Consider the following 24727-nt stretch of genomic DNA (forward strand, 5'->3'; position numbering starts at 1 on the left):
TTTGGAGTGGTGCAGAGGACTTTCTAACACAAAACTCACAGGCTATAAAAAGATAAGATTAACAAATTTGACTGCAAAAAAATTTCAAATTTCTATATTTAATAAACCAGCAGAAAACAAACAGCAAACTGAGAAAGAGTAGCAACTGCTGTGACAAAGGGATAATTTTCTTAATATACAAAGAGCTCTTACAAATAAATCCAATTTAAAAATGGGAAAAGGACCGGGCACGTGGCTCATGCCTGTAATCTCAGCACTTTGGGAGGCCAAGACGGCTGGATCACCTGAGGTCAGGAATTCAAGACCAGCCTGATCAACATGGTGAAATCTCTGTCTCTACTAAAAACACGCAAAATTAGCCAGGTGTGGTGGCGCACGCCGGTAATCCCAGCTACTTGGGAGGCTGAGGCAGGAGAATCACTTGATCCGAGATCGTGTCACTGCACTCCAGCCTGGGCGACAGAGGAGGAAAAAAAAAAGCAGTCATTTCATTGCAGGTGCCTCCAGTAATTGCTCAGTGCAAACATACATAACTATTCTATCACAGACCATTAAGGGTGTCTCTCTCCATTTTTAGATTTTCCGCTTGAGTTTCCAGGTAGTTTCTCACCTGTTTTCAAGCAGGGTTGGGGCAGCCGTTTCTTCAACAGCGCCAGCCGTAAAACACAAAGATGGAGGCCAACCTCCCACACCCGGGCACCCTCCCTTCCCCCATACTGAGATTGACAAGTAAGCAACCCGGTGATCAGTACTAAAATGGAGACGTCAGCCAGGTGCGGTGGCTCACACCTGTAATTCCAGCACTTTGGGAGGCTGAGGAGGAAGGATCGCTTGAGCCCAGGGGTTCGAGGTCAGCCTGGGCAACATATGGAAACCCTGTCTCTATGAAATGTAGATCCTGTCTGTGAGTGTGTGTGTATAAATAAATATATATATATATATACAAATACATACATATATATATTTAAAAAATAAAATGGGGACGTCCAACACGTGTACTAGGGGCGGTGTCTCTGCCTGGGGAGGTGGTGATGACAGGGCAGGCTCCACCCAGGAGAAGCTGGAAGAATGGGAGTTCCGCGGCAGAGGAGGCGGGGCAGGGCGTTCCTCCAAACACAGGAATACCACGTGCGAAAACAAAGGGGTGTGCGAAGACCGGGTGCATGTGTACAGCTGCAAACTGGGGGAAAGGCGCCAGGCTTGGGCGATGAGGATTTGTTCCCCCATGGATTCCCTTCCTGCCCAGGGTCCGCTCTCGCCGGTCGAGGGTGCCTAACAATACTCCTTGCCACAAGGTTCGCAGCCGAAAAGGTCCTTCAAGTCCGGCCATCCAACTTTCACTTTTTATAGACAAATATACAGAGGCCTTAGATAAGTGAAACGGCTTGTCTCGGGTTACAGCTCTAGCCAACACAGGGTTTCTGACGGTCAGTCTGCGGATTTTCCTGCCTCTGGTCCGCAGGCACTGCCCAGGCTGTCAGCCCCAAACCCTACTCCGGGGACCGCGGTCAGGTTCGTCTCCGGGCGGACTACATCTCCCACAATGCCTTGGGCCCAGCCTCCCTCCTGCCGCCCGGCTGGGTGCCGTCTCCACCAACAGAAAGGCAGAATTTCCAGGGCCGTTCTCGGCAGCCAATGAGCGCGGCGGTGGGCGGGCCTCTCCCGTCCATTGTTCTCGGTGCCCCACGGGCTTGAGCCGGGGTGAATCTGGAGGGGCCGGGCCGAGCCCGGGGGCGCTTTCGCACGCGAAGCAACCGCTAGAGCAGGACCTGGTCTCCCGAGAGGTGAGCCGGAGAGGCAGGCCTGGAGCCACGCGGACCCCGGGCAGTAGCCCGAGGTGAGGGAATAGTGGGCCTGGAGCCAGCTGCCGGCAGCTCTGCTGGGGGAGGGGCGTCGGGGTCGCGCTCCGTATCCTGCGGGCCCTGCAGCCCCGATTTACGCGCCGGCTCCGCTCAGCGAACCGTCCCGGACGCGTCTCCCTGGCGGAGAGCTCCTTGCCTCTCCTACCGAGAAGCGCAGGCTTTGGACGGGAAGGGGCATTCGACGACATCCCGCGCAGCGTACACGTTTTACAGATGGGGAAACTGAGGTTCAGAGGGGGCGTGTCGTGCCCCAAGTCAGACCGCAAATTAGCTGACCTGGCACACTTTTCCCAGGCTCCCAAGTAGGAAGAGTTCTCTTACACCATATGCCAGTATTTCTTCTAGTCATTTGAGTAAATACACGTTGAGAGCTTCGGTTTTCCCACTAGCTTTTATTTTTTGTCCTTTTTTTTTTAAGCTTTTGTCAGCTTTTCTCCCCTTTTCATTGAGGGAGGGTTGTTAGTTGAGTCTTTATGATGTAGTAATGATTTTTTAAAAAATTTTTTTATTTTTGTAGAGACTGGGTCTCACTCTGTTGCCCAGGTTGGTCATGAACTCCCGGCCTCAAGCCATCTTCCCTCCTCGGCCTCCCAAAGTGCTGGAATTACAGGCGTGAGCTACAGCGCTTGGGCTAAAAATAATTTTGTATTGCTTTTATAATATTTTAAGTCGTTTGCAATTCCACTGCTTTCAATATTTTGTAGGTGCCGTCCCGTTCTTTTTTCCTGTGAGTTCATTTTTTTTTTTTTTTTTTTTTGAGACGGAGTTTTGCTTTTGTTGCCCAGGCTGGAGTGCAATGGCCTGATCTCCGCTCACCGCATCCTCTGCCTCCCGGGTTCAAGCGATTCTCCTGCCTCAGCCTCCGGAGTAGCTGGGATTACGGGCATGCGCCACCACGCCTGGCTAATTTTGTTTTTAGTAGAGACGAGGTTTCTCCGTGTTGGTCAGGCTGGTCTCGATCTTCCGACCTCAGGTGATCCGCCCGCCTCAACCTGCCAAAGTGCTAGGATTACAGGTCTGAGCCACCGCGCCCGGCTGTGAGTTCATTTTTAAAGGGAATTGAGGACTTACTGTGTCTATGGTTTTTCTGCCCTGCTGATTTTGTGTTTATCCATTATTTTCCTATCAGAAGGATTATCTTAAATCATTAATGATTAATCTTTGTCAATATAATTTTTAAAATATTAAAAACATACAGCGTAATGTGCAGATCTTAAATTTCATATGTTTGCTCTTGTGCCGCCATTGCCAAATGAAGATATTGAAAATTTCCATCATCCCAGAAGGCTCCTTTGAGCCCCTTTCCTGTCATTACCACCTAAAGGTAGCCATTATTATAGCACAGTTTCTTTTCTTTTTTTTCCTTTTCTTTTCTTTTTTTTTTTTTTTTTTTGAGACAGAGTCTGGCTCTTTCGCCCAGACTGGAGTGCAGTGGCACGATCTCGGCTCACTGCAACCTCCTCCTCCCAGGTTCGGGCAATTCTCCTGCCTCAGCCTCCTGAGTAGCTGGGATTACAGGCGCCCGTCACCATGCCTGGCTAATTTTTGTATTTTTGGTAGAGACGGGGTTTCACTATATTGGCCAGGCTGGTCTCGAACTCCTGACCTCAAGTGATCCGCCTGCCGAGGCCTCCCAAAGTGCTGGGATTACAGGCAACCACGCCAAGCCTATAGCACAGTTTCTAATACATGCTGCTATATGGGTGTGTCATAGTTTATTAGCCATTCCCTGCTGCTGGATTTTTAAGGACTCGATTTTTTGGTTATTTTTTTAAGATAAAGTACTGAGGGGCCGAGGCTGGATTGGAGAGTATATGCATGTTTTAAACTTCATACTTAAAGTATGGTAATAATGCAGTTGAGATATTGCCTTTCTTCCAAAGAAGCTCAGAGTGCTTTGACATCTGATCCATTGCTGATCCTTAAGATGCCCCCATAAAAACAGAAACATGAGTGTTATTATCTTTATTAGGTGGTCACCGAGTTTGGTGACTAAGTTGTATGTTAGGTCAAGGTCACACAGTGCAAGTCGAAACTGACTTAGGAGAGTCCTCAGTATTTCAGTCATGGGTTTTTCCCGGGGACTTTGCATTTCTGATACTCATTCTTTGGTGTTTTGGAAGGAACAATGCTGTATTTTTTGTGCTTGGGATACTTTTTTTTTTTTTTTTTTGAGACGGAGTCTCACTCTGTTGCCTGGGCTGGAGTGCAGTGGCGAGATCTGTGCTCACTGCAACCTCCGCCTCCTGGGTTCAAGAGATTCTCCTGCCTCAGCCTCCCAAGTAGCAGGAACTACAGGCCCCCGCCACCACGCCCGGCTAATTTTTGTATTTTTAATAGAAATGGGGTTTCACCATACCTCAGGTGATCCGCCCACCTCGGCCTCCCAAAGTGCTGGGATTACAGGCATGAGACACTGCACCCAGCCTTCTTTTACCACAGAGAGATGTTTTCAGGAATAAGCCATTTTTTCTTTAAGAAGAACAGGAAACGTCTGTTGGTTTGCATATGTAAGGGCCACTTGGTGGTCTGACCTGGGCTTTTGTGAGTTAGATTGCTTTAGGACAGTCTACCTATGGATTATGGTTCTCTTTTTTGTTTCTCAGCGGGACTACTTGTTGATATTTGAGGAGGGAAGTGTCTTACCTGAGAGCCTGGCTGGAGAAGACTGAGGTCCAAGGCTTGAAGCCTAAGTGATTGCCCCAGGACTGTGGATGATGGCTGCAGACATCCCGAGAGTGACCACTCCGCTGAGCTCCTTGGTCCAGGTGCCTCAAGAGGAAGATAGACAGGAGGAGGAGGTCACCACCATGATCCTGGAGGATGACTCCTGGGTGCAAGAAGCTGTGCTGCAGGAGGATGGCCCTGAGTCTGAGCCCTTTCCCCAGAGTGCTGGCAAGGGCGGCCCCCAGGAGGAGGTGACCAGGGGACCACAGGGTGCACTCGGCCGCCTCCGAGAGCTCTGCCGGCGCTGGCTGAGACCAGAGGTACACACCAAGGAGCAGATGTTAACCATGCTGCCAAAGGAAATTCAGGCTTGGCTGCAAGAGCATCGGCCTGAAAGCAGTGAGGAGGCAGCGGCCCTGGTGGAAGACTTGACCCAGACCCTTCAGGACAGTGGTGAGACGCAGAACCTCATAGGGAGAGGGCGGGAGCACCCTTCCAAGGTAGAGGAGTGTGGTGTTTCGGAGGAGGAGAAGGTGGTGTCCAAGGCAGAGTGGGGGGCTAGCGCCATCCCTCTGCTCTGTCTGCAGGCAGTCAGCGTGTTCATCAGCCTTTTAGTGTCCTCACTGTGTGCAAAGTCAGCTCCAGAAGTGCTAGGAGGGCCTTAGAGCTACATTTGAATTGTAAGCACAGTTTTTACTTCTGTGTTTATTTGGAGTGGTTGGGAAGGTGATGGAAGTTAAACGGGAGGAGATGGAGACCCCTGGCACCTTCACGTGGTTGTGCAAGAAACATCCAAATGGTTCTTGCAATTAGAGAAAACAATCTGATATTTTCAACATGACTTTTTTTTCTTTTTTCTTTTTTTTTTTTTTTTTGAAACGGAGTCTCGCTCTGTCACCCAGGCTGGGGTGCAGTGGCACAATCTTGGCTCACTGCAACCTCCGTCTTCTGGGTTCAAGCAGTTCTCCTGCCTCAGCCTTTTGAGTAGCTGGAATTACAGGCGTGCGCCACCACGCCCGGCTAATTTTTTTATTTTTCGTAGAGATGGGGCTTCACCATGTTCGCCAGACTGGTCTCAAGCTCCTAACCTCGTGATCCGCCCACCTCAGCCCCCGAAAGTGCTGGGATTACAGGCGTGAGTCACCACGCCTGGCCCCAAAGTGGTTATTTTTATGAAACCAAGAGAAATGACAAGTAAACCAGCTAATAACTAGGGACTTTCTGTGGTATAAAGTAATCCTGGGCTCTTAAAATCGTAATTTCAAACTTGAGCTCTTTGCAATAGTTACTCTATTTTTTTCCGGTGTTACTAATAAGTATTGGGATTCTGGCTTGCCGTTTAACCGCTGTCTCCCTCCTGGTTTTCCATTGTAAAGTAGACTCACTTGATGACCAAATGTTTACTTCAGATGTGCCTTGAGGGCTGTCTCAGGGCTCGAAGGATATGGCTGCCTTTGTGCTGATGAAAACTACGGAAGTTCAGAGAAGGGAGCGTGGAGAGGAAAGGTCAGGTCAGAGAAGGCTTCCTGGAGGAGGTGACACCTAAGCAGGAGGTTGTAGAAGGGAGTAGGGTGTGGCAGCTGAGAGGAGCTGTGCTGAGCAGAGGCTTGGAAGGGCAGAGCCACGGTGGTTTATACCTTTGGGTGACAGGAGAGCTGGCAGATTGGAGTGGCAAGTGTGTTTTTAGGAAGTGGTAGGAAGTAGAGTTTGGGGGAAGGGTGGGTGAGGGCTTGGACTGAATGTTTTGCCTCAGTGGGTTCTTGAACTAGACCCCCAAGGGGCATGGAAGGAAGCGGAGTTTGGCAACAGGATGTAGGTTTGATTAGGGTAGTGAGAGGCTAGGGGCAGGAGAGCAGCCAGGAAGCTCCCTTGTCTTCAGGTGTGCAGTGATGGGGGTCTGCCCCAGATGGGGCACGTGTGAGAAAGAACTGATAGTCACCATGGCTAGCACTTTCCAAGCTCTTTCTGCAAGCCAGGAAATATGCTTAGCATCTAATATGGAAAACTCATGTAATCTTCACCACCCTGGAAGATAAGCAGGATTATCATCACCAGAGATCCCTTAAGATCATGTGCCTTTGTACCAGGCAGAACCAAGATTTGAACTTATGTGTGTGAGGACATAGCCCATGTTTTTAAGCGTTGTCATATGTATGATTCTAAGAGACACTTCCTAGTGGGTGTTGGAAGTTGGGGATGCAGATGGAATTAAGACAGTGACTACAGAGCATCTGGCCTGGAGGATTCAGAGGACTGGGAAGAGAAGAGAAGGAAACTGAAGGGGATTTGGGGCAGAGACTATCACAAACTCCAGGGACTGGGTGAATGAGTAGAGCTGTCCTCTGGAGAAAGGGACTGACGCCGAAGGTCTGCAGTGACCCAGCCCTGCCCTGGGCACCTTCATGCTTGTCTCACTAAGAATCCTGTGAGTGGCTGGCATTGTCATTTCACAGATAGGAAATATAAGTGCAGGAAACTCACATGGCTGTTGAGTGGTGGAGCCAGGATTCAAACCCAGACCTGTCTCTTTCTGCATGGAGATCTCAGTTTTGCTTGAAGCAAAGTGCTTGATTTTCTTTGGCCCTGAAAAAATAACTGCATTTTATTCCTTCTATTAAAATAAGCAAACCTGTCTCCCTATTTTACAGCTGTAGCTGTCGTTGCTTCCCTTCCGGTGGAGGTGACCAGTTTGTAATGAACTTCTGGATCTCCAGTCAGATACTATGGAGGAGAGAGTGATGGAGGGCTGAGGAGAGGCCTCAGGTTGTTATTTGGTTGGGGAGGCACAGAGCAGAGGTTCAGGTCTCAGCAGGTGTCAGAGGTGATTACAGCCCTTCCCATCCACCTTGCAGCAGGGGCTTTGTGCCTTTCATCTTTAACTGGGCACCTGAGATGGGAACCAATGGGGACCATCCCAGACACATGGGTTTGTCTGTCCCTGACTTCTGCCTCTGAGATTGTCTTTGTTGGTCTTTGTTTAATAAACGCCCCGACCTTCCTCATGATTGCTCACAGGAGTCCCTGCGTTTGTCTTCATCCCTTCTCAAACATTTACTCGACATAAGGCCGCGTGACCTCTATTCTGTTTGTCCAGCTTATGACCTTTGGACACATTCACCCAGCACAGGATATTTCCAGGCCTGGTTAGTCAGTGGCGGTTTAATGTTTTTCTGACAGGAACCTCTGGGCACTCAAAATTCAAGTACCTTCTAATTCTAATGAAGATCGGACCTATATTAATAGATTAAGTGGCAGAGCTTATGTCTCTCTGTGACTGTTTCCAGAGGACATTTTACTCTCCATACCCAGCCCTAATCCAGATGCGTGGAGTTTCTCACCTGAATTCTTGGAGCAGCTGCCAAACTGAACCTGTCTTCAGCTTCTGCCCCTTCATCCCAGCTCTTCCACTTCTACCAGAGTGATGGGGCACTCCTGCTTAAAAACCTTCATGAGCTTCCCAGTATCTACCAAATCAAGCATGACCTCCTTGTTCTGCTTGGAATCCGTGGCTCTGTGGGACCTGGCCCAAACCTCCCCTGCAGTCTTTTCCCACCCCTGACCCCCCATGCTCTATCCCCACTCCATTCAGACCAGATCTTGCTCTTTCTTGAACACAGCCTGTGCTTTTGTTTTTGTTTTTGTTTTTTTGAGACGGTCTTTCTACGTTCCCCAGGCTGGAGTGCAGTGGTGCCATCTGGGCTCACTGCAACCTCCACCTCCTGGGTTCAAGTGATTCTCCTGCCTCAGCCTCCCAAGTAGCTGGGATTACAGGTGCGTGCTACCGTGCCCAGCTAATTTTTGTATTTTTAGTAGAGACAGAGTTTCACCACGTTGGTCAGACTGGTCTCGAACTCCTGACCTCAGGTGATCCACCCACCTTGGCTTCCCAAAGTGCTGGGATTACAGGCGTGAGCCACCACGCCTGGCCCTTGCTCCTGGATTTTTGGCTTGGAATAGCCTTGTCCCATCTCTGTGATAAAATCCCAGTTGTTCTTTGAGTGCCCACCCGTGGAGACCCTCTTCATAAAGCTGCTCTTAAACCCTGTCCCTTTTCCCCATCCCCAGTTCCACACACCTGGGAGCACCTCTAATCACCTCTGCTAGAAGTCGTCTCCCCCAGAACATTTGGATTCTCTCTCTTGGCTTTTTATCATAGTTCACCTTCTTTTCTGTTTATATGAATACTTGTCTTATTTCTTCTAGGAACCTGTAAAATCCTAGAAGACAAGGAACCTGTCTTTTTCCTTTCTCTTTCATTCCCCCTCTTCCCTCTCTTCCACCCTACTCCCTCTTCCTTTCCCTCTCCCTTCAGTATCATGAACCTCGGAGCCCCACCCTAGAACTCCTGAATCAGACACTTTGAGGGTGGCTGGGCGCAATGGCTCACGGCTGTAATCCCAGCACTTGGTGAGGCCGAGGCGGGTGGATCACTCGAGGCCAGGAGTTCGAGACCAGCCTGGCCAACATAGTGAAACCCTGTCTCTGCTAAAAATACAAAAAAAATCAGCCAGGCATGGTGGCATGTGCCTGTAATCCCAGCTACTTGGGAGGCTGAGGCAGGAGAATCGCTTGAACCTGGGAGGCGGAGGTTGTAGTGAGCTGAGATTGCGCCATTGCACTCCAGCCTGGGTGACAGCAAGACTCTGTCTCAAAAAAAAAAAAAAAAAAAAGAAACTGAGGGCGATGCCCAGCATTCTAAGTGATCCTGATTCAAACTCCAATTTGAGAACCTCTGCACTAGACCTCTGTAGACCTCTGGTTCTCAAACTCAGCCGCACATTAGAATTACCTGGGGGCCTGGAGCCTACTCCAGGGATTCTAATTTTCTGATTTAATTGGTATGGGGTATGGCCTGGGCAAGGGAGTTTTGAAAGTGCCCAGGTAGTTCTATTATGCTGCAAAGTGTAAAGAGCACTGCCATAGAGCTTTGTTCTTCAGGGGGTGGTCAGTGGGCCAGCAGCATCAGCTCACCTGGGAGTTTGTTAGACTAGGACTGTCAGTCTCACCAAGCCCCGCTGAAGCAAATTTGCATTTGACAAGATCTCCAGGTGATTCCTATGCTCTTTGAAGTTTGAAAAGCACTACCCAGGAGAGGAATAGAGGTTATCAACTTCAAGCCTACTCTTGTCCAACAGTTGAGTGAAAGAGTCACAGCTGACCTCTCCAGCCATCCTCAGCATCATCTGGCTTTCAGCCATCAGAGGCAACAGGTGATTTGTTTTGAGCTTGCTGCCCCAGCAAAATGCTCCCTTAATGACCACAAATGAACACATACATTCATTTGTCTCAGCCAGAAAGGGAGTGGAGAGTGTTACAGCTTATGTCTTTTTAAAGCTACAATTCTTAGCTTCAAAACAAAATTACTTTTATATATATATATACACATATATATCTATGATATATATCATATATGATATATGAGATATATGATATATCTCATATGATATATATATGAGAGAGAGACAAAGTCTCACTCTGTCAACCCAGGCTGGAGTGCACTGGTGTGATCATAGCTCACTATAACCTCGAACTCTTGGCCTCAAGTGGTCCTCCTGTTTCAGCCACCCAAAGCACTGCGATAACAGGAATGAGCCACTGTGCCCAGCCCAAAAATTACCTTTAATTTACTCAAATGTTTGAAAAGTATACCGGACAGAATTCTTAGGGAGCGGTAACGTTATACCTATGAAATGTTTAGCATTCATGTATTTCACCTGATAACAGTCCATTGCTGTTTTTATCAGCAGTTAGTCTTTCAAGCAGCCAGAGTTCAGGGGGAACAATGCTCCCAGTCCCACTGGGCTTGCCAGGGCAGCGCTCTAATGGGGAGAGCCCTAGTGAGAATGGAGCTGGGCATACCCTATATCAGAACCACTTCTCTATTTTAGACCAGTGGCTGAGACACAGGGGTAGGACACAATCAGGCAGGAAGGGGCTGGAGAAGAATTTTGAGCCAAACACACACCAAAGCACCAAAGACTGTGACCAGTTTATTTCATTGTTACAGCAAAGTCAGGTCTATCCCCTATTGACATGAGTCTTCCCCATGTTCATTCTGGTATGCTCTATGGTGCGGGAGAGAAAGAGGAGGCCTGTGGCCAGGCGAGGACACGCAGGGCCCTGTGAACGGCCACGGGAATTTGTGCTGTGCACGTGAGGCCAGAGCTCACGTGGCAAGTGCGAGAAATACAAGGACCGTTGGCTGAGATTGAGCTACGGTGGCAGCTTTTGTCCACTGACAGATAAGGGGAGAGGTCCTGTGGCCCTTCAGGGACTGTTCCAGTGAATGATTTTTGGACAGTGGTCAAATCATTTTGAAAAAACTAAAATTGGATACCTACTTTGCAGCTTACAAAGAAATAGATCCCTGCTTTACAAGTTACACAAAAATAGGTCCCAGATGGATTACAGATCTGTAATAGACAGGATCTGAAATGACATGTGAGAGAATATTTTTGTAATCTTAGCATGCGGGAAGGACTTTCATGTTTGTTTGACAGGAACCTCTAGGCACTCACAATTCAAGTATGAAGTGTGAATAAGCAATACAGAAGTCATCAAAGCTAGATTGGACTCAAAACAGAAGTCTTTCTTTCTTTCTTTCTTTCTTTTTTTTTTTTTTTTTTGAGATGGAGTCTCACCCTGTCGCCCAGGCTGGAGTGCAGTGGCGCCATCTCGGCACTGCAACCTCCACCTCCAGGGTTCAAGTGATTCTCCTGCCTCAGCCTCCCGAGTAGGTGGGACTACAGGCACCCACCACCACTCCCGGCTAATTTTTGTATTTTTAGAAGAGATGGGGTTTCACCATGTTGGTCAGGCTGGTCTCAATCTCCTGAACTCAGGCAATTCGCCCGCCTCTGCCTCCCAAGGTGCAGGGATTACAGGCGTGAGCCACTGCACCCAGCCAAAACAGAAGTGTTTCATATAAAAAACGATACTGTGAATCAAAAGACAGCATACACATTAGGAGGAAATATTTGCATCCAAGTCTAATGTAGCAGATCATGAGTCAAAATCCTTGATCTACAAGAGCCTCTGCAAATTCATAAGAAAAGTCAACCAAATAGAATAAAAGGTAAAAGATATAAACAATTTAGAAATGAAGAACTAAAAATTATGAAAATATGTTCTGGCCAGGTGTGGTGGCTCACGCCTGTTATCCCAGCACTTTGGGAGGCCAAGGTGGGTGGATCACGAGGTCAGGAGTTCAAGACCAGCCTGGCCAACATGGTGAAACCCCATCTCTACGAAAAATACAAAAAAAATTAGCCGGGCATGTGGTGGTGTGCACCTGTAATCCCAGCTACTGGGGAGGCTAAGTTAGGAGAATTGCTTGAACCCAGGAGACAGAGATCACGCCACTGCACTCCAGCCTGGGTGACAGAGCAAGACTCCGTCTCCAAAAAAAAAATTTTTTTCTTTTTAATTAGCCAGGCATGGTGGCACACACCTATAGTCCCAACTACTTGGGGGCTGAGGTGGGAGGATCACTTGAGCCTGGGAGGTCAAGACTTAAGTGAGCCAAGATCCCACCACTGCACTCCAGCCTGGGAGACAGTGATATACTGTCTCAAAAAACAACAACAGGCCAGTCGTGGTGGCTCACACTGTCATCCCAGCACTTTGGGAGGCTGAGGTGGGTGGATCACCTGAGGTCAGGAGTTTGAGACCAACCTGGCCAACGTGGTGAAACCTCATCTCTACTAAAAATAAAAAAATTAGCTGGGAGTGATGGCAGGCGCCTGTAATCCCAGCTACTCAGGAGGCTGAGGCAGGAGATTCGCTTGAACCTGGGAGGCAGAGGTTGCCAAGATCGCGCCACTGCACTCCAGCCTAGGCGACAGAGCGAGACTGTCTCAAAAAACACAAAACAAAACAGAAAAGCAAGAACAACAAAAAAGTGGATGTCTGGGCCATCCAGCCTCTTACTCATAAGCCTGCTTCCTTAGAAGCCGCCTCCCTACATCTACTCATATCCACAGAATGTGCTCCTCTTGGCATCCTGGAGTAGCCAAAGCCATTGCTATCAGTAAAAAAATTTTTTTTTAATTCCCAGCTGCCACCATCTCCTCTCATCTCCATTCACAACGTGGTAAGAATATTATTTTTGTATCTGACCAAAACCAGTTTCTGAGTTTTCATTTTCTTAATTGGCCACCAATAAATAAAGGAGGGACTCACCTGCCCTTGAACGTGCTCTGCTGTGTGCTCTGGATCTCATAGGGGCCAGCCTTTCTCAGGGAGCCTGGAGGGGGCCAGGGATCCCTTATTCTTCCCAGCTCAGTGACTTTTTCCCATTTTGGAGGCCCTTGTCAGTCAGATCACCTGAAGGGCCACTCTTTTCTGTCCTGTAGAATGACTCCTGTGTCTCTCTGGTCTTAGAGGGCAACTTGTGAAGAACTGCCAACCTTCCTTTGGTCTTCGCTGGATAGCAGCGGTGTTTGTAAAGATAGGACTGGTCTTTGAGCAGTACAGTGAAGGGGTTATTGGGCCTGGATTCTACTCAGAGGGACCTCCTTAGTGAGGTTTATGATATTTATGTTATACAGCAATGTAGAAATGACCTTCTAAAGGCCAGGAGCGGTAGCTCATGCCTGTAATCCGAGCACTTTGGGAGGCCGAGGCAGGTGGATCACGAGGTCAGGAGATCGAGACTATCCTGGCTAACACGGTGAAACCCTGTCTCTACTAAAAATACAAAAAAATTAGCCGGACGTGGTGTCCGGCGCCTGTAGTCCCAGCTACTCGGGAGGCTGAGGCAGGAGAATGGCGTGAACCCGGTAGGCGGAGCTTGCAGTGAGCCGAGATCATGCCACTGTACTCCGGCCTGGAAGACAGAGTGAGACTGCGTCTCAAAAGAAAAAAAAAAGGGGGAAATGACATTGTAACCAAAATTGGGGTTGGGAGGAATAAGGTGGTTTTATAGGATATGTTCTTTGATTGTCTTGTATGTAATACCTGGGAGTTCAAAGACTTGACATTTAAAAGAAGATAGCCCCATAAATTAAGTATCGCACTTAAAGGCTGCCAGATTTTAAAGAAATTCTTTCATATGTTCATCTAATAGTTTGATGCTGCTATTTGGGTTTTTTGTTTTAACATTTAAATCTTAGATCCATTTGGGATTTGTCCGTTTCTGGGTCCAGCTTGAATTTTTCCATTTGAATTGAATTTTTCCAGTTTTCCGTAACTAGTTCTTCCAGCATCATTTATTGTATGTTGTGTCTCTTCTCCATGGATTTAAGAGGCCAACCGTATTGTATGCTAAATTTTCATAGTCATTATACAGATTATCTTTTCTCTTCTCTTGGCCTGTCTATTTCTGTTCCACTTGTATTAAATTCTGAACTTACATATCTATTGAATCTATTTCTGGAGTTTTTATTTTGTTTATTTGGTCTGATTGTCTATTAATGTTTTAATTATTGAGATTTCATAATGTTTTTGTTTTTGTTTTTGAGACGGAGTCTCGCTCTGTTGCCCAGGCTGGAATGCAGTGGCACAATCTCGGTACACTGCAACCTCTGCCTCCTGGGTTCAAGCAATTCTCCTGCCTCAGCCTCCCAAGTAGGTGGGATTACAGGCGCCCGCCACCACACCCAGCTAATTTTTGTATGGGGTTTCACCATGTTGGCCAGGGTAGTCTAGAACTCCTGACCTCAGGTGATTCACTCGCCTCGGCCTCCCAAAGTTTTGGGATTACAGGCGTGAGCCACTGCACCCGGCCGAGATTTCATAATGTTTTAACATCTGACAGAGATAGTCCCTCTCCCCTCCAATTTTAGTCAGTAATCTTTCTTTTTTTTTTTTTTGAGATAGAATCTCAGTCTGTCACCCAGGCTGGAGTGCAGTGGCACGATCTCTGCTCACTGCAACCTCCACCTCCTGGGTTCAACGATTCAACGATTCTCCTGCCTTAGCCTCCCAACTAGCTGGGATTACAGGCATGTACCACCATGCCCAGCTCATTTTTGTATTTTTAGTAGAGATGGGGTTTCACCATGTTGGCCAGGCTGGTCTTGAACTCCTGAGCTTGCGATCCGCCCACCTCTGCCTCCCAAAGTGCTGAGATTACAGGTGTGAGCCACTGCTCTTGGCCTCTTTTTTTTTTTTTTTTTTTTTTTTTCAGAGACAGAGTCTCACTCTGTCACCCAGGCTGGAATGCAGTAGCATGATCATAGTTTACTATAATCTCAAACTCCTGGCCTCAAGCAATCCTCCCACCTCAGGTTCCTGAGTAGCTGGGACTACAGGCAAGTGCCAACACACCCGGCTAATTCTGTTTTTTTTTGTAGAGATGAGGTCTTGGCTGTGTTGCTCAGGCTGGTCTTGAACTCCTGGCCTCATGCAGTCCTCTCACCTCAGCCATCCAAAGTGCTGGGATTGCAAGCAATAATCTTATCTTTTTTAGTGTTTATTTTTGCAAACCTCTACTTAGCTGCATGCTTTACCAGTTTTAAATGTGAATTCTTTGAACTCCCAGGTTATTACAGATGAGGCAATCAACGAACATATCCTATAAACCACCTTATTTCTCCCAACCCCAGTTTTGGTTAGAATGTCATTTCTACACTGCCGCATAACATTCACAAGCTCTTTAATCACCCCAGTTGCCATGGTAGTTTTAGTCTTCATTCTAAAGTTAAATTTATTAGGTGTTCACCCCTCTAGCAGTCCATTAATTTGTGTATGTTCAAAGCTGTTTGCCTATAGGTTTATACTTGAAGGACAGTTTTGTCGAATATAGAGAAATCTTTTTTTTTTCCTGAGATAGAGTCGCCCAGGCTGGAGTGCAGTGGCGCGATCTCAGCTCACCACGACCTCCACCTCCTGGGTTCAAGCAGTTCTCCTGCCTCAGCCTCCGGAGTAGTTGGGATTACAGTCACGTGCCACCACACCCAGCCTGAATATAGAGAAATCTGAAACCAGTTGATTTTCTTTCCCCTTGTAAGTGATTTGATCCTTTTGCTGTTGTCCACTGGTCTTACTGTTAGCCACCCTGGGTTAGTTTTTGTTGGCCCATGGTGTAACTTTCACATGTTCTTATATCCTTACAGGTTTTATCTTTAAGTATTAGTTCTTTTTTTTTTTGAGACGGAGTCTCACTGTGTCGCCCAGGCTGGAGTGCAGTGGTGTGATCTCAGCTCACTGTAACCTCCGCCTCCCGGGTTCAAGCGATTCTCCTGCCTCAGCCTCCTGGGTAGCTGGGACTACAGGCATCTGTCACCACACCCAGCCAATTTTTGTATTTTTTTAGTAGAGACGGGGTTTCACCATATTGGCCAGGCTGATCGTGAACTGCTGACCTTGTGATCCGCCTGCCTCAGCCCCCCAAAGTCCTGGGATTACAGGCGTGAGCCACCACGCCTGGCCTTTAAGTACTAGTTCTATTGCTTTGTTTTTTTGAGAACTCCAGTTATGTTTACTGATTCTCCTTTTGCCTAACTTCTGTTTCTATCTTTTTGTTTAAGATAGGGTCTCACTCTGTCACCCGGGCTGGAGTCCAGTGGTGCAAATATGGCTCACTGCAGCCTCTGCCTCCTGGCCTCAAGCAATCGTCCTGCCTTGGCCTCTTAAGTAGCTGGGTCTACAAGTGTGTACAGCCACACCTGGCTAATTTTTGTATTTTTTGTAGAGATGGGGTGTTGCCATGTTTCCTAAGTTGTCCCAAACTGCTGGGCTCAAGCAATCCACCTGTCTTGGCCTCCCAAAGTGCTGGGATTACAGACCTGAGCCAACGCGCCTGGCCCTCTGTCATTCTTTTTAATCCTTTTAACCTATTCCTTTGTTTCCATTTCCTGTCATTGCTTTCTTATTTTGGTCCTCTTTTTCCCATTCTTGGAATGGTGCTTTCCAAGATGCCTATTCCCATTGCGCTCCTTTTCCTGTTGTCTTCATTTCTCTGGCTGATTTTCCCTCCTTTCCTGAGTTCTTCTAGTGTACATTTAATCTCTTCCTGTTGTCTCACCATCCCTTCTTCAAGCTCTTCTCTGTGGTATTCCTTTATAAAGGCAGTTGCCTCATTTAATTATTTTTATGGATGGAAATGATCACTTTTCTCAGTAATAGTAATTCCTTGGGCCGGGCTCCAGCCTATAATCCCAACACTTTGGGAGGCCGAGGCAGTTGGATCATTTGAGGTCAGGAGTTCGAGACCAGCCTGGCCAACATGGCGACACCCCATCTCTATTAAAAATACAAAAACAATGAGCCGGGGGTGGTGGTGTGCACCTGTAATTCCAGCTTGTCAGGAGGCTGAGGCAGGAGAATCGCTTGAACCTGGGACGCAGAGGTTGCAGTGAGCCAAGATAGTGCCACTGCACTCCAGCCTGGGTGACAGAGTGAGACTTCATCTCAAAAAAATAAATAAATAAATACCTTGGATTAATGTGCGTGGGTCAAAGGCTCTTTCCTTCTCTGCTTTCCAGAAACAGCTTCCTGCGTACATGGCTGCCCTGTGTGATTCCAGTTGCAGCCTCACCTCCTTTGCCTCTCTGAACCAAAGAAGCCAGCCCTGCTTACCCCAGTTCCCAAACACAGGAAGTGATTTTCTGCCTGAGCTTTCTGAGTTCTGTTCCCTCCCACCCCAGGGCTCTCCATGCTTATTCATTGCATTTCCTTCCTCATTGCTTTTACCCAGTCTGCTGTTTTGGGAAGCCCTGACATGTATTTTGGTGCCTACATATTTTATCTTCTGATCTCACTGAAAATAAAATTGGATTTTACTTGTTTTCCTTGTTGCTTCCGAGCTCATTGGAGAGCTAACCAGTTCTGATTTTAAAACAGCAAAAACAGCCTTATTAGCTAATGTTACCTATTCAATTACTAAAATCACCCAAAAAAATGTTTTTGGTCATGTTAGTTTGCTAAAAATTAATCAGGGTCTTGGCCTGCAGGTTCTTCTAGAAGAGAGATGCTGGCAGGGCTCTGTGCTCAAAACTTGCCAAAAAACTGTCTTCCGGCCAGACATGGCAGCTCACGCCTATAATCCCAGCACTCTAGGAGGCGGAAGTGGGCAAATCACCTGAGGTTGGAAGTTCGAGACCTGCCTGACCAACATGGAGAAACCCTGTCTCTACTAAAAATACAAAATTAGCCAGCCATGGTGGCACATGCCTGTAATCCCAGTTAATTGGGAGGCTGAAGCAGGAGAATTGCTTGAACCCGGGGAACAGAGGTTGCGGGGAGCCAGGATCGCGCCACTGCACTCCAGCCTGGGCAACAAGAGCGAAACTCTGTCTCAAAAAAGAAAAAAAAAAAAACTGTCTTCCATGGCCAGGCGCAGTGGCTCACGCCTCTAATCCCAGCACTTTGGGAGGCCAAGGCGGGCGGCTCACTTGAGGTCAGGAGTTTGAGACCAGCCTGGCCAACGTGGTGAAACCCTATCTCTACTAAAAATACAAAAATTAGCCAGGCGTGTTGGCGTGCGCCTGTAGTACCAGCTACTCAGGAGGCTGAGGCAGGAGAATTGCTTGAACCTGGGAGGCGGAGCTTGCCCTGAGCCAGGATCGCGCCACTGCACTCCAGCCTGGGTGACAGAGTGAGACTCCAAAAAAAAAAAGACTGTCTTGCAGGAAGTTGAGGAAACACAGAATTCCTGGTTCTGCCGAGTCAGAGTATACCTTGTGCCCCTTGTGCCTGTATCTGTCCCCTAGTGATATGAGGGGTGGGGCTGGAGGGCAATTCTGTGAACCCACAGATTACCAGCAGCATGTGTCAGTGTAAGCATGGAGTTTAATTATATGCCTGTTTTCAACTTTAAAGGTGATCTTATGGCCAGGCATGGTGGCTTATGCCTATCATCCCAGCACTTTGGGAGGCCAAGGCAGGAGGATCACTCAAGCCCAGGACTTTGAGACTAGCCTGGGCAACATAGCAAAACCCCATCTCTACAAAAATACAAAAAAATTAGCTGGGTGTGGTGGCATACACCTGTGTAATCCCAGCTACCTGCAAGGCTAAGGTGGGAGCGTCACCTGAGCCCAGGAAGTTGAGGCTACAGTGAGCTGCGATCTCGCTACTGTACTACCGCCTCGGTGACAGACTAAGACCTTGTCTCAAAAAAATAAAAAATAAAAATAAATGTGATCTTAAATTGACTGAAGGCAAGAGTGGAGCCCAGGTCCTGCCTGAGAGGGGCATGTCCAATTTTATCATGTTCATATGTAAGAGTTTATATTAACTTACAGAAAATTAATTGAGCATCTAACCTTAAATAAAGTTTTTTAGCTTTAATAATAGAAATGTCACTAGGAGTTCGAGCGCGATAGCTCACACCTGTAATCCCAGCACTATAAGAGGCCCAGGCGGGCGGATCACCTGAGGTCAGGAGTTTGAGACCAGCCTGGCCAACATAGTGAAACCCCATCTCTACTAAAAATACAAAAATTAGCTGGGCGTGGTGGTGTGCGCCTGTAGTCCCAGCTACTCTGGAGGCTGAGGCAGGAGAATCTCTTGAACTCGGGAGGCTGAGGTTGCAGTGAGCCTAGATCTCGCCACTGCAGTCCAGGCTGGGTGACCAAGTGAGACTCTGTCTTAAAAAATAGAAAAAAGTGCAGCTTTTTTTAGGATTGAGGTCAAGAGGGAAATTTCCTCCTCAGGCTCATCAAGAGGACATTGTGTGGTATAAACAATGTCATCAACAACTTCCTGGCAGCATTAATGTTCCCAACAGCCATTAATTTTTTTTTTTTTTTTCGAGACAGAGTCTTGGCTCTGTTGCCCAGGCCGGAGTGCAGTGGCGTGATCTTGGCTCACCAAAGCGTCCACCTCCTGGGTTCTAGTGATTCTCCTGCCTCAGCCTCCCAAGTAGCTGGGATTACAGGTGCCTACCACCATGCCCAGCTAATTTTTTTGTATTTTTATTAGAGACGGGGTTTCACCATGTTGGTCAGGCTGGTCTCAAACTCCTGATCTCAGATAATCTACCCACCTTGGCCTCCCAAAGTGCTAGGATTACAGGCGTGAGCCACCATGCCCGGTGTCAGTCATTAATTTCTAATGACACTTCTTAGAGTGTCAGCCAGGGCTATGAAGCCAACACACTATTCAGTAAACACAGTTCTGCCGGGGGTCAGAACAGTGTGATCCAGGCTCAGCTCTCTGCTGCTTTGGCCTCATCCTCGGGTAGATTTTACAGTCCCTCATCTAAGGAAGGGGCTATGTTCTTCTAGCAGTCCTCCCTAATGATTTCTTTTACTCAAATATTTGGGCACTGGAAGGTTTAACAAGTTCCTGGAAGACATATTACCAATTAAAGATCTATTCATGGCTGGGCGCGGTGGCTCACGCCTGTAATCCCAGCACTTTGGGAGGCCGAGGCGGGCGGATCACAAGGTCAGGAGATCGAGACCATCCTGGCTAACATGGTGAAACCCCGTCTCTCTAAAAATACAAAAAATTAGCCGGGTGTGGTGGTGGGCGCCTGTAGTCCCAGCTACTCGGGAGGCTGAGGCAAGAGAATGGCGTGAACTGGGGAGGCGGAGCTTGCAGTGAGCCGAGATCGCGCCATTGCACTCCAGCCTGGGCCACACAGCGAGACTCCGTCTCAAAAAAAAAAAAAAAATCTATTCATAAGCTCCCACTGCAGACAAATTTGAGGGCTCTTTTAACAATCCAGTTAACTTGCTTCTAGTCATTGGTATACACACCTAGGGTCCTTATTGCACGGGCTCTGTCATCTTTCCTGTGTCTAAATACAAAGTAATGCGGTCATAAACACCAGATACATGTCAATACAAGAAATTATTATATAAGCTCCTTTTGAAAGGAGACTGAGCTTTAGGGAAATGTCTATGGTACCAATAAAAAAACTCATTCATGCACTCATTACATTGAATCAAGCACCAGGCATTATGGTGAGTGTGGGGGTAATTGGGTAGGTACCCTGTTTATGTCCTTTAAAATTCCCACCTGACCTCATTTTCAGATGAAGACACAGGTAGTGGGGACATGGAACCCAAATCTTTAAGGCTTTGAAATTCTGGGTGATTGCCACAAAGATTATGAGGCCTGACAACCAGTCAGAATGAAATAAGCCTGGGTTGGTTTTTTTTTTTTTTTTTTTCCATCAGCTTTTAGGTTCAGGGGTACATGTGCAGGATGTGCAGGTTTGCTACAAAGGTAAATGCGTGCCATGGTGGTTTACTGCACAGGTCATCCCACCACCTAGGTATTAAGCCCAGCATCCATTAGCTATTCTTCCTGATGCTCTCCCTCCCCCTCCCCCACAGGCCCCAGGGTGTGTTATTTCCCTCCATGTGCTCATGTGTTCTCTTCATTCAGCTCCTGCTTATAAGAGAAAAGATGCAGTGTTTGGTTTTCTGTTCCTATGTTAGTTTGCTGAGGATAATGGCTTCCAATTCCATTCATGTCCCTGCAAAAGATATGATCTCATTCTTTTTTTTGGCTGCATAGTATACCATGGTGTATATGTACTACATTTTCTTCATCCAATCTATCATTGATGGGCATTTGGGTTGATTCTATGTCTTTGCTATTGTGAATAGTGCAGCATTGAACATGTGTGTGCATGTATCTTTATAATAGAATGATTTATATTCCTTTGGGTATATTAAACCTGATTATTAAAGGCTTTGAGGATTTTCTAGCCTCTTTGTGTTCACTGGAAGTTTAATTTTTATAAATTTCCCCCTTCGTTTTCTTTTGTCATCATGACAGGGAGTTGAGTAGACATTGTATGTTTTTCTTCATTGTTTCAGATTTTGAGATACAGAGTGAAAATGGGGAGAACTGTAATCAAGACATGTTTGAGAATGAATCACGTAAGATATTCTCGGAAATGCCTGAAGGTGAAAGTGCTCAGCACTCCGATGGGGAAAGTGACTTTGAGAGAGATGCTGGCATCCAGAGGCTCCAGGGACACAGCCCAGGTGAGGACCACGGGGAGGTGGTTTCTCAGGACAGGGAAGTTGGCCAGCTCATAGGCCTGCAGGGCACCTACCTAGGGGAGAAGCCCTACGAATGTCCCCAGTGTGGGAAGACCTTCAGCCGGAAATCCCACCTCATCACACACGAGAGGACCCACACAGGAGAGAAATACTACAAATGTGATGAATGTGGAAAAAGCTTTAGTGATGGTTCAAATTTTAGTAGACACCAAACCACTCACACCGGGGAGAAGCCCTACAAATGCAGAGACTGTGGGAAGAGCTTTAGCCGGAGTGCCAACCTCATAACCCACCAGAGGATCCACACGGGGGAAAAGCCCTTCCAGTGTGCCGAGTGTGGCAAGAGCTTCAGCAGGAGTCCCAACCTCATTGCACATCAGCGCACCCACACAGGAGAGAAACCCTACTCGTGCCCCGAGTGTGGAAAGAGCTTTGGCAACCGATCCAGCCTTAACACGCATCAGGGGATCCACACTGGAGAAAAGCCCTACGAATGTAAAGAATGCGGCGAAAGCTTTAGTTACAACTCCAATCTAATCAGACACCAGAGAATCCACACAGGAGAGAAACCCTACAAATGTACCGACTGTGGGCAGAGGTTCAGCCAGAGTTCAGCCCTCATCACCCACCGGAGAACCCACACAGGAGAGAAACCCTACCAGTGCAGCGAGTGTGGGAAAAGCTTCAGCCGCAGCTCTAACCTGGCCACACACCGGAGAACCCACATGGTGGAGAAGCCCTATAAGTGTGGGGTGTGTGGGAAGAGCTTCAGCCAGAGCTCCAGTCTGATTGCACACCAGGGCATGCACACAGGGGAGAAACCCTACGAGTGCCTGACATGTGGGGAGAGCTTCAGCTGGAGCTCCAACCTCCTCAAGCACCAGAGGATCCACACGGGAGAGAAACCCTACAAATGCAGCGAGTGTGGGAAATGCTTCAGCCAGCGCTCCCAGCTCGTAGTGCACCAGCGGACCCACACGGGCGAGAAGCCCTACAAATGCCTCATGTGCGGCAAGAGCTTCAGCCGGGGCTCCATTCTGGTCATGCACCAGAGAGCCCATTTGGGAGACAAGCCCTACAGGTGCCCTGAGTGTGGGAAAGGCTTTAGCTGGAACTCAGTCCTCATTATACATCAGCGAATCCACACTGGGGAGAAGCCCTACAAATGCCCCGAGTGTGGCAAAGGCTTCAGCAACAGCTCTAACTTTATCACACATCAGAGAACTCACATGAAAGAGAAACTTTATTGAAGTGGCAAAGAGTGAAAGTGAGGGACTGGCCTGGAGTGGGAGTTGCCACACTGCCCCAACAGTGATTCCCTTTCAAAGAGCTGTGCTTCCTAAACATTCTGGGGGGTTTTGCCAGAGTCTTCCCCTTGCTCATCCTCATTTCCAGGACACTGTCATTTTAGTGGTCTGAGTCAAGTCCCGTATACATTCAAGAACAGGGCATAGGCGTGGAAGGTCTGGAAAGTTGGGTCTTTTTCCCTTACATTGGGTGACTTGATTGGCCCCCTCTCATGATTCCTCTGTGCCTCAGTTTCCTCTTTGGTAAAATGGGGGGAAATGTTTCTCCATGTGGAATGGAAGACAGCATGGCCCACAACGTGGGCCGAGTCCTCAGAGAAATACTGGAAATCATTGGTGTGGTTCTGGTTGTTTTGTTGTTTTGCTGCCACGTTGTTGGGCTAAGGTGCCTTCACCCCAAGCTGTTAGTGTTCCAGGGCACCCCAAGCTGTCAGTTAGAATCTGCTCTTCTGGCTTTGGTGTCTTGGGCTTTGATTTCAGGTCAAGATGGAGGGGCTTCTCCAGTTCTGAGTCACCCACGTGAAGGTAAAGACCCTTTCTATTTCCAGAAAGTGTCAGGAGCACAGAAACTTGAGGAAGTACAGCCTGGAGCCAGTGTCCCAGTGTCCTTTCCATTGGTAAGAGTTGGACAGGGCCTTCAGGAAAGGGGTAAACCGAGGACATTTCAGTGCTTGCTTTTGTCTCTGCCTACTGTCCTGTGGTAGATCAGCTACCAGGGGAACACATTTGTTCTCGTGGGGTTTTGTCCTGGAGAGTGTAGTGAAGTCCGAGAGCCCTAGCTGCCAACCCATGGTGGATGGTAACTTCTGTCTCATCAAGAGTAAAACAGTCCTGCACACAGCAGGGTGGGTTTGTGCCTTTGGCCCAACAGGTACATAGCCCCATAATTTCTGAATTATTCTATGCACTTGTTTCCCTCTTCTTTTATTTTTTATTTGATATATGCCGAGCTAGAATCCTGTCGGGTAGCTTTTGTATACTAAGAACATTATTATTATTATTATTTTTGAGACGGAGTCTCACTCTGTCACCCAGGCTGGAGTGCAGTGGTGCCATCTCAGCTCACTGCAAGCTCCGCCTCCCGGGTTCACGCCATTCTCCTGCCTCAGCCTCCCGAGTAGCTGGGACTACAGGTGCCCACCACCACACCCAGCTAATTTCTTTTTTTGTATTTTTAGTAGAGACGGGGTTTCACCGCGTTAGCCAGGATGGTTTCGATCTCCTGTCCTCGTGATCTGCCCGCCTTGGCCTCCCGAAGTGCTGGGATTACAGGCGTGAGCCAGCGCACCCGGCCAAGAACATTATTTTTAAAGAAGTGTTAACTTTGAGGACATATCTGTTCCCTGGAGATATTTGGGCTTGAATCAGGAGTTTGTCCTACAGGTGTCGCCCTTGATCTCAGGATGCTACCAGGGCTTTGTTCTCGGGATCCTCGCACCTGGAGAGTGAAGACGGGCATGACGGCAGGTGAAGGGGTTTGCTGTGAAGGAAGAGGAGATAAGGCATTTCCAGGAAATGGGAAACTGCCTCCTCCTACACATGGGGCCTGTGCTCAGAATGGGCTTAGTTCTTATAGGATGGATGCTCAGTATTCCTTAATAAAGTAGAGTTCCATTCTTTTCCTGAGTCTGTCTTTTACTGTGTTAAAAACCTGAACTAGGCTGGGCGTGGTGGCTCACACCTGTAATCCCAACACTTTGGGAGGCTGAGGCGGGTGGATCACGAGGTCAGGAGATCGAGACCATCCTGGCTAACACGGTGAAACCCCGTCTACTAAAAATACAAAAAATTAGCCGGGTGTGGTGGCGGGCACCTGTAGTCCCAGCTACTTGGGAGGCTCAGGCAGGAGAATGGCATGAACCCAGGAGGCGGAGCTTGCAGTGAGCCGAGATCGCACCACTGCACTGCAGCCTGGGTGACAGAGCAAGACTCCATCTCAAAAAAAAAAAAGTCTACAATAAATGGTAAAAAGAGCTGGCAC

The 24727-nt window shown here is 47.9% G+C and overlaps 1 protein-coding gene and 1 long non-coding RNA gene across 10 annotated transcripts, besides 4 other annotated features; one reads left to right on the forward strand and one right to left on the reverse strand.

The window, feature by feature from the left end:
* On the reverse strand, positions 83–17061 carry LOC105370947 (uncharacterized). The gene is made up of 4 exons (NR_186225.1): positions 16908–17061; positions 7011–7112; positions 4509–4634; positions 83–452 (listed from the first exon to the last, which is right to left on the reverse strand). It is a non-coding gene; the product is annotated as an uncharacterized LOC105370947 (long non-coding RNA).
* Positions 1506–1555: an enhancer, noted in NCBI's record as "active region_9982". NCBI's record gives its function as "activates an Ori minimal core promoter by ATAC-STARR-seq in GM12878 lymphoblastoid cells {active_cell/tissue: GM12878}" and the evidence as "EXISTENCE:reporter gene assay evidence [ECO:0000049][PMID:35858748]".
* ZSCAN2 (zinc finger and SCAN domain containing 2) lies at positions 1658–24365 on the forward strand. Of its 9 annotated transcripts, none has more exons than XM_024449978.2 (4): positions 1658–1784; positions 4469–4982; positions 5117–5209; positions 21251–24365. In XM_024449978.2, the coding sequence occupies exons 2-4, from the start codon at positions 4577–4579 to the stop codon at positions 22687–22689; spliced, it is 1938 nt and encodes a 645-aa protein (XP_024305746.1). In that variant the 5' UTR covers positions 1658–1784; positions 4469–4576; the 3' UTR covers positions 22690–24365. The 9 variants fall into 9 exon arrangements, with proteins under 9 accessions (XP_024305746.1, XP_016877882.1, XP_047288738.1 ...); XM_017022393.3 differs by lacking the exon at positions 21251–24365 and adding an exon at positions 16958–17260; XM_047432782.1 differs by lacking the exon at positions 21251–24365 and adding an exon at positions 7178–7534.
* Positions 1876–2025: a silencer, noted in NCBI's record as "silent region_6768". NCBI's record gives its function as "represses an Ori minimal core promoter by ATAC-STARR-seq in GM12878 lymphoblastoid cells {active_cell/tissue: GM12878}" and the evidence as "EXISTENCE:reporter gene assay evidence [ECO:0000049][PMID:35858748]".
* Positions 4073–4701: an enhancer, noted in NCBI's record as "OCT4-NANOG-H3K27ac-H3K4me1 hESC enhancer chr15:85146655-85147283 (GRCh37/hg19 assembly coordinates)". NCBI's record gives its function as "activates a minimal SCP1, AML or CMV promoter by ChIP-STARR-seq in naive and primed H9 embryonic stem cells {active_cell/tissue: H9 hESC(naive and primed)}" and the evidence as "EXISTENCE:reporter gene assay evidence [ECO:0000049][PMID:30033119]".
* Positions 10140–10665: an enhancer, noted in NCBI's record as "H3K4me1 hESC enhancer chr15:85152722-85153247 (GRCh37/hg19 assembly coordinates)". NCBI's record gives its function as "activates a minimal SCP1, AML or CMV promoter by ChIP-STARR-seq in primed H9 embryonic stem cells {active_cell/tissue: H9 hESC(primed)}" and the evidence as "EXISTENCE:reporter gene assay evidence [ECO:0000049][PMID:30033119]".

This window comes from Homo sapiens, chromosome 15 (genome assembly GCF_000001405.40).
Source record: "Homo sapiens chromosome 15, GRCh38.p14 Primary Assembly".
NCBI lineage: Eukaryota > Metazoa > Chordata > Mammalia > Primates > Hominidae > Homo > Homo sapiens.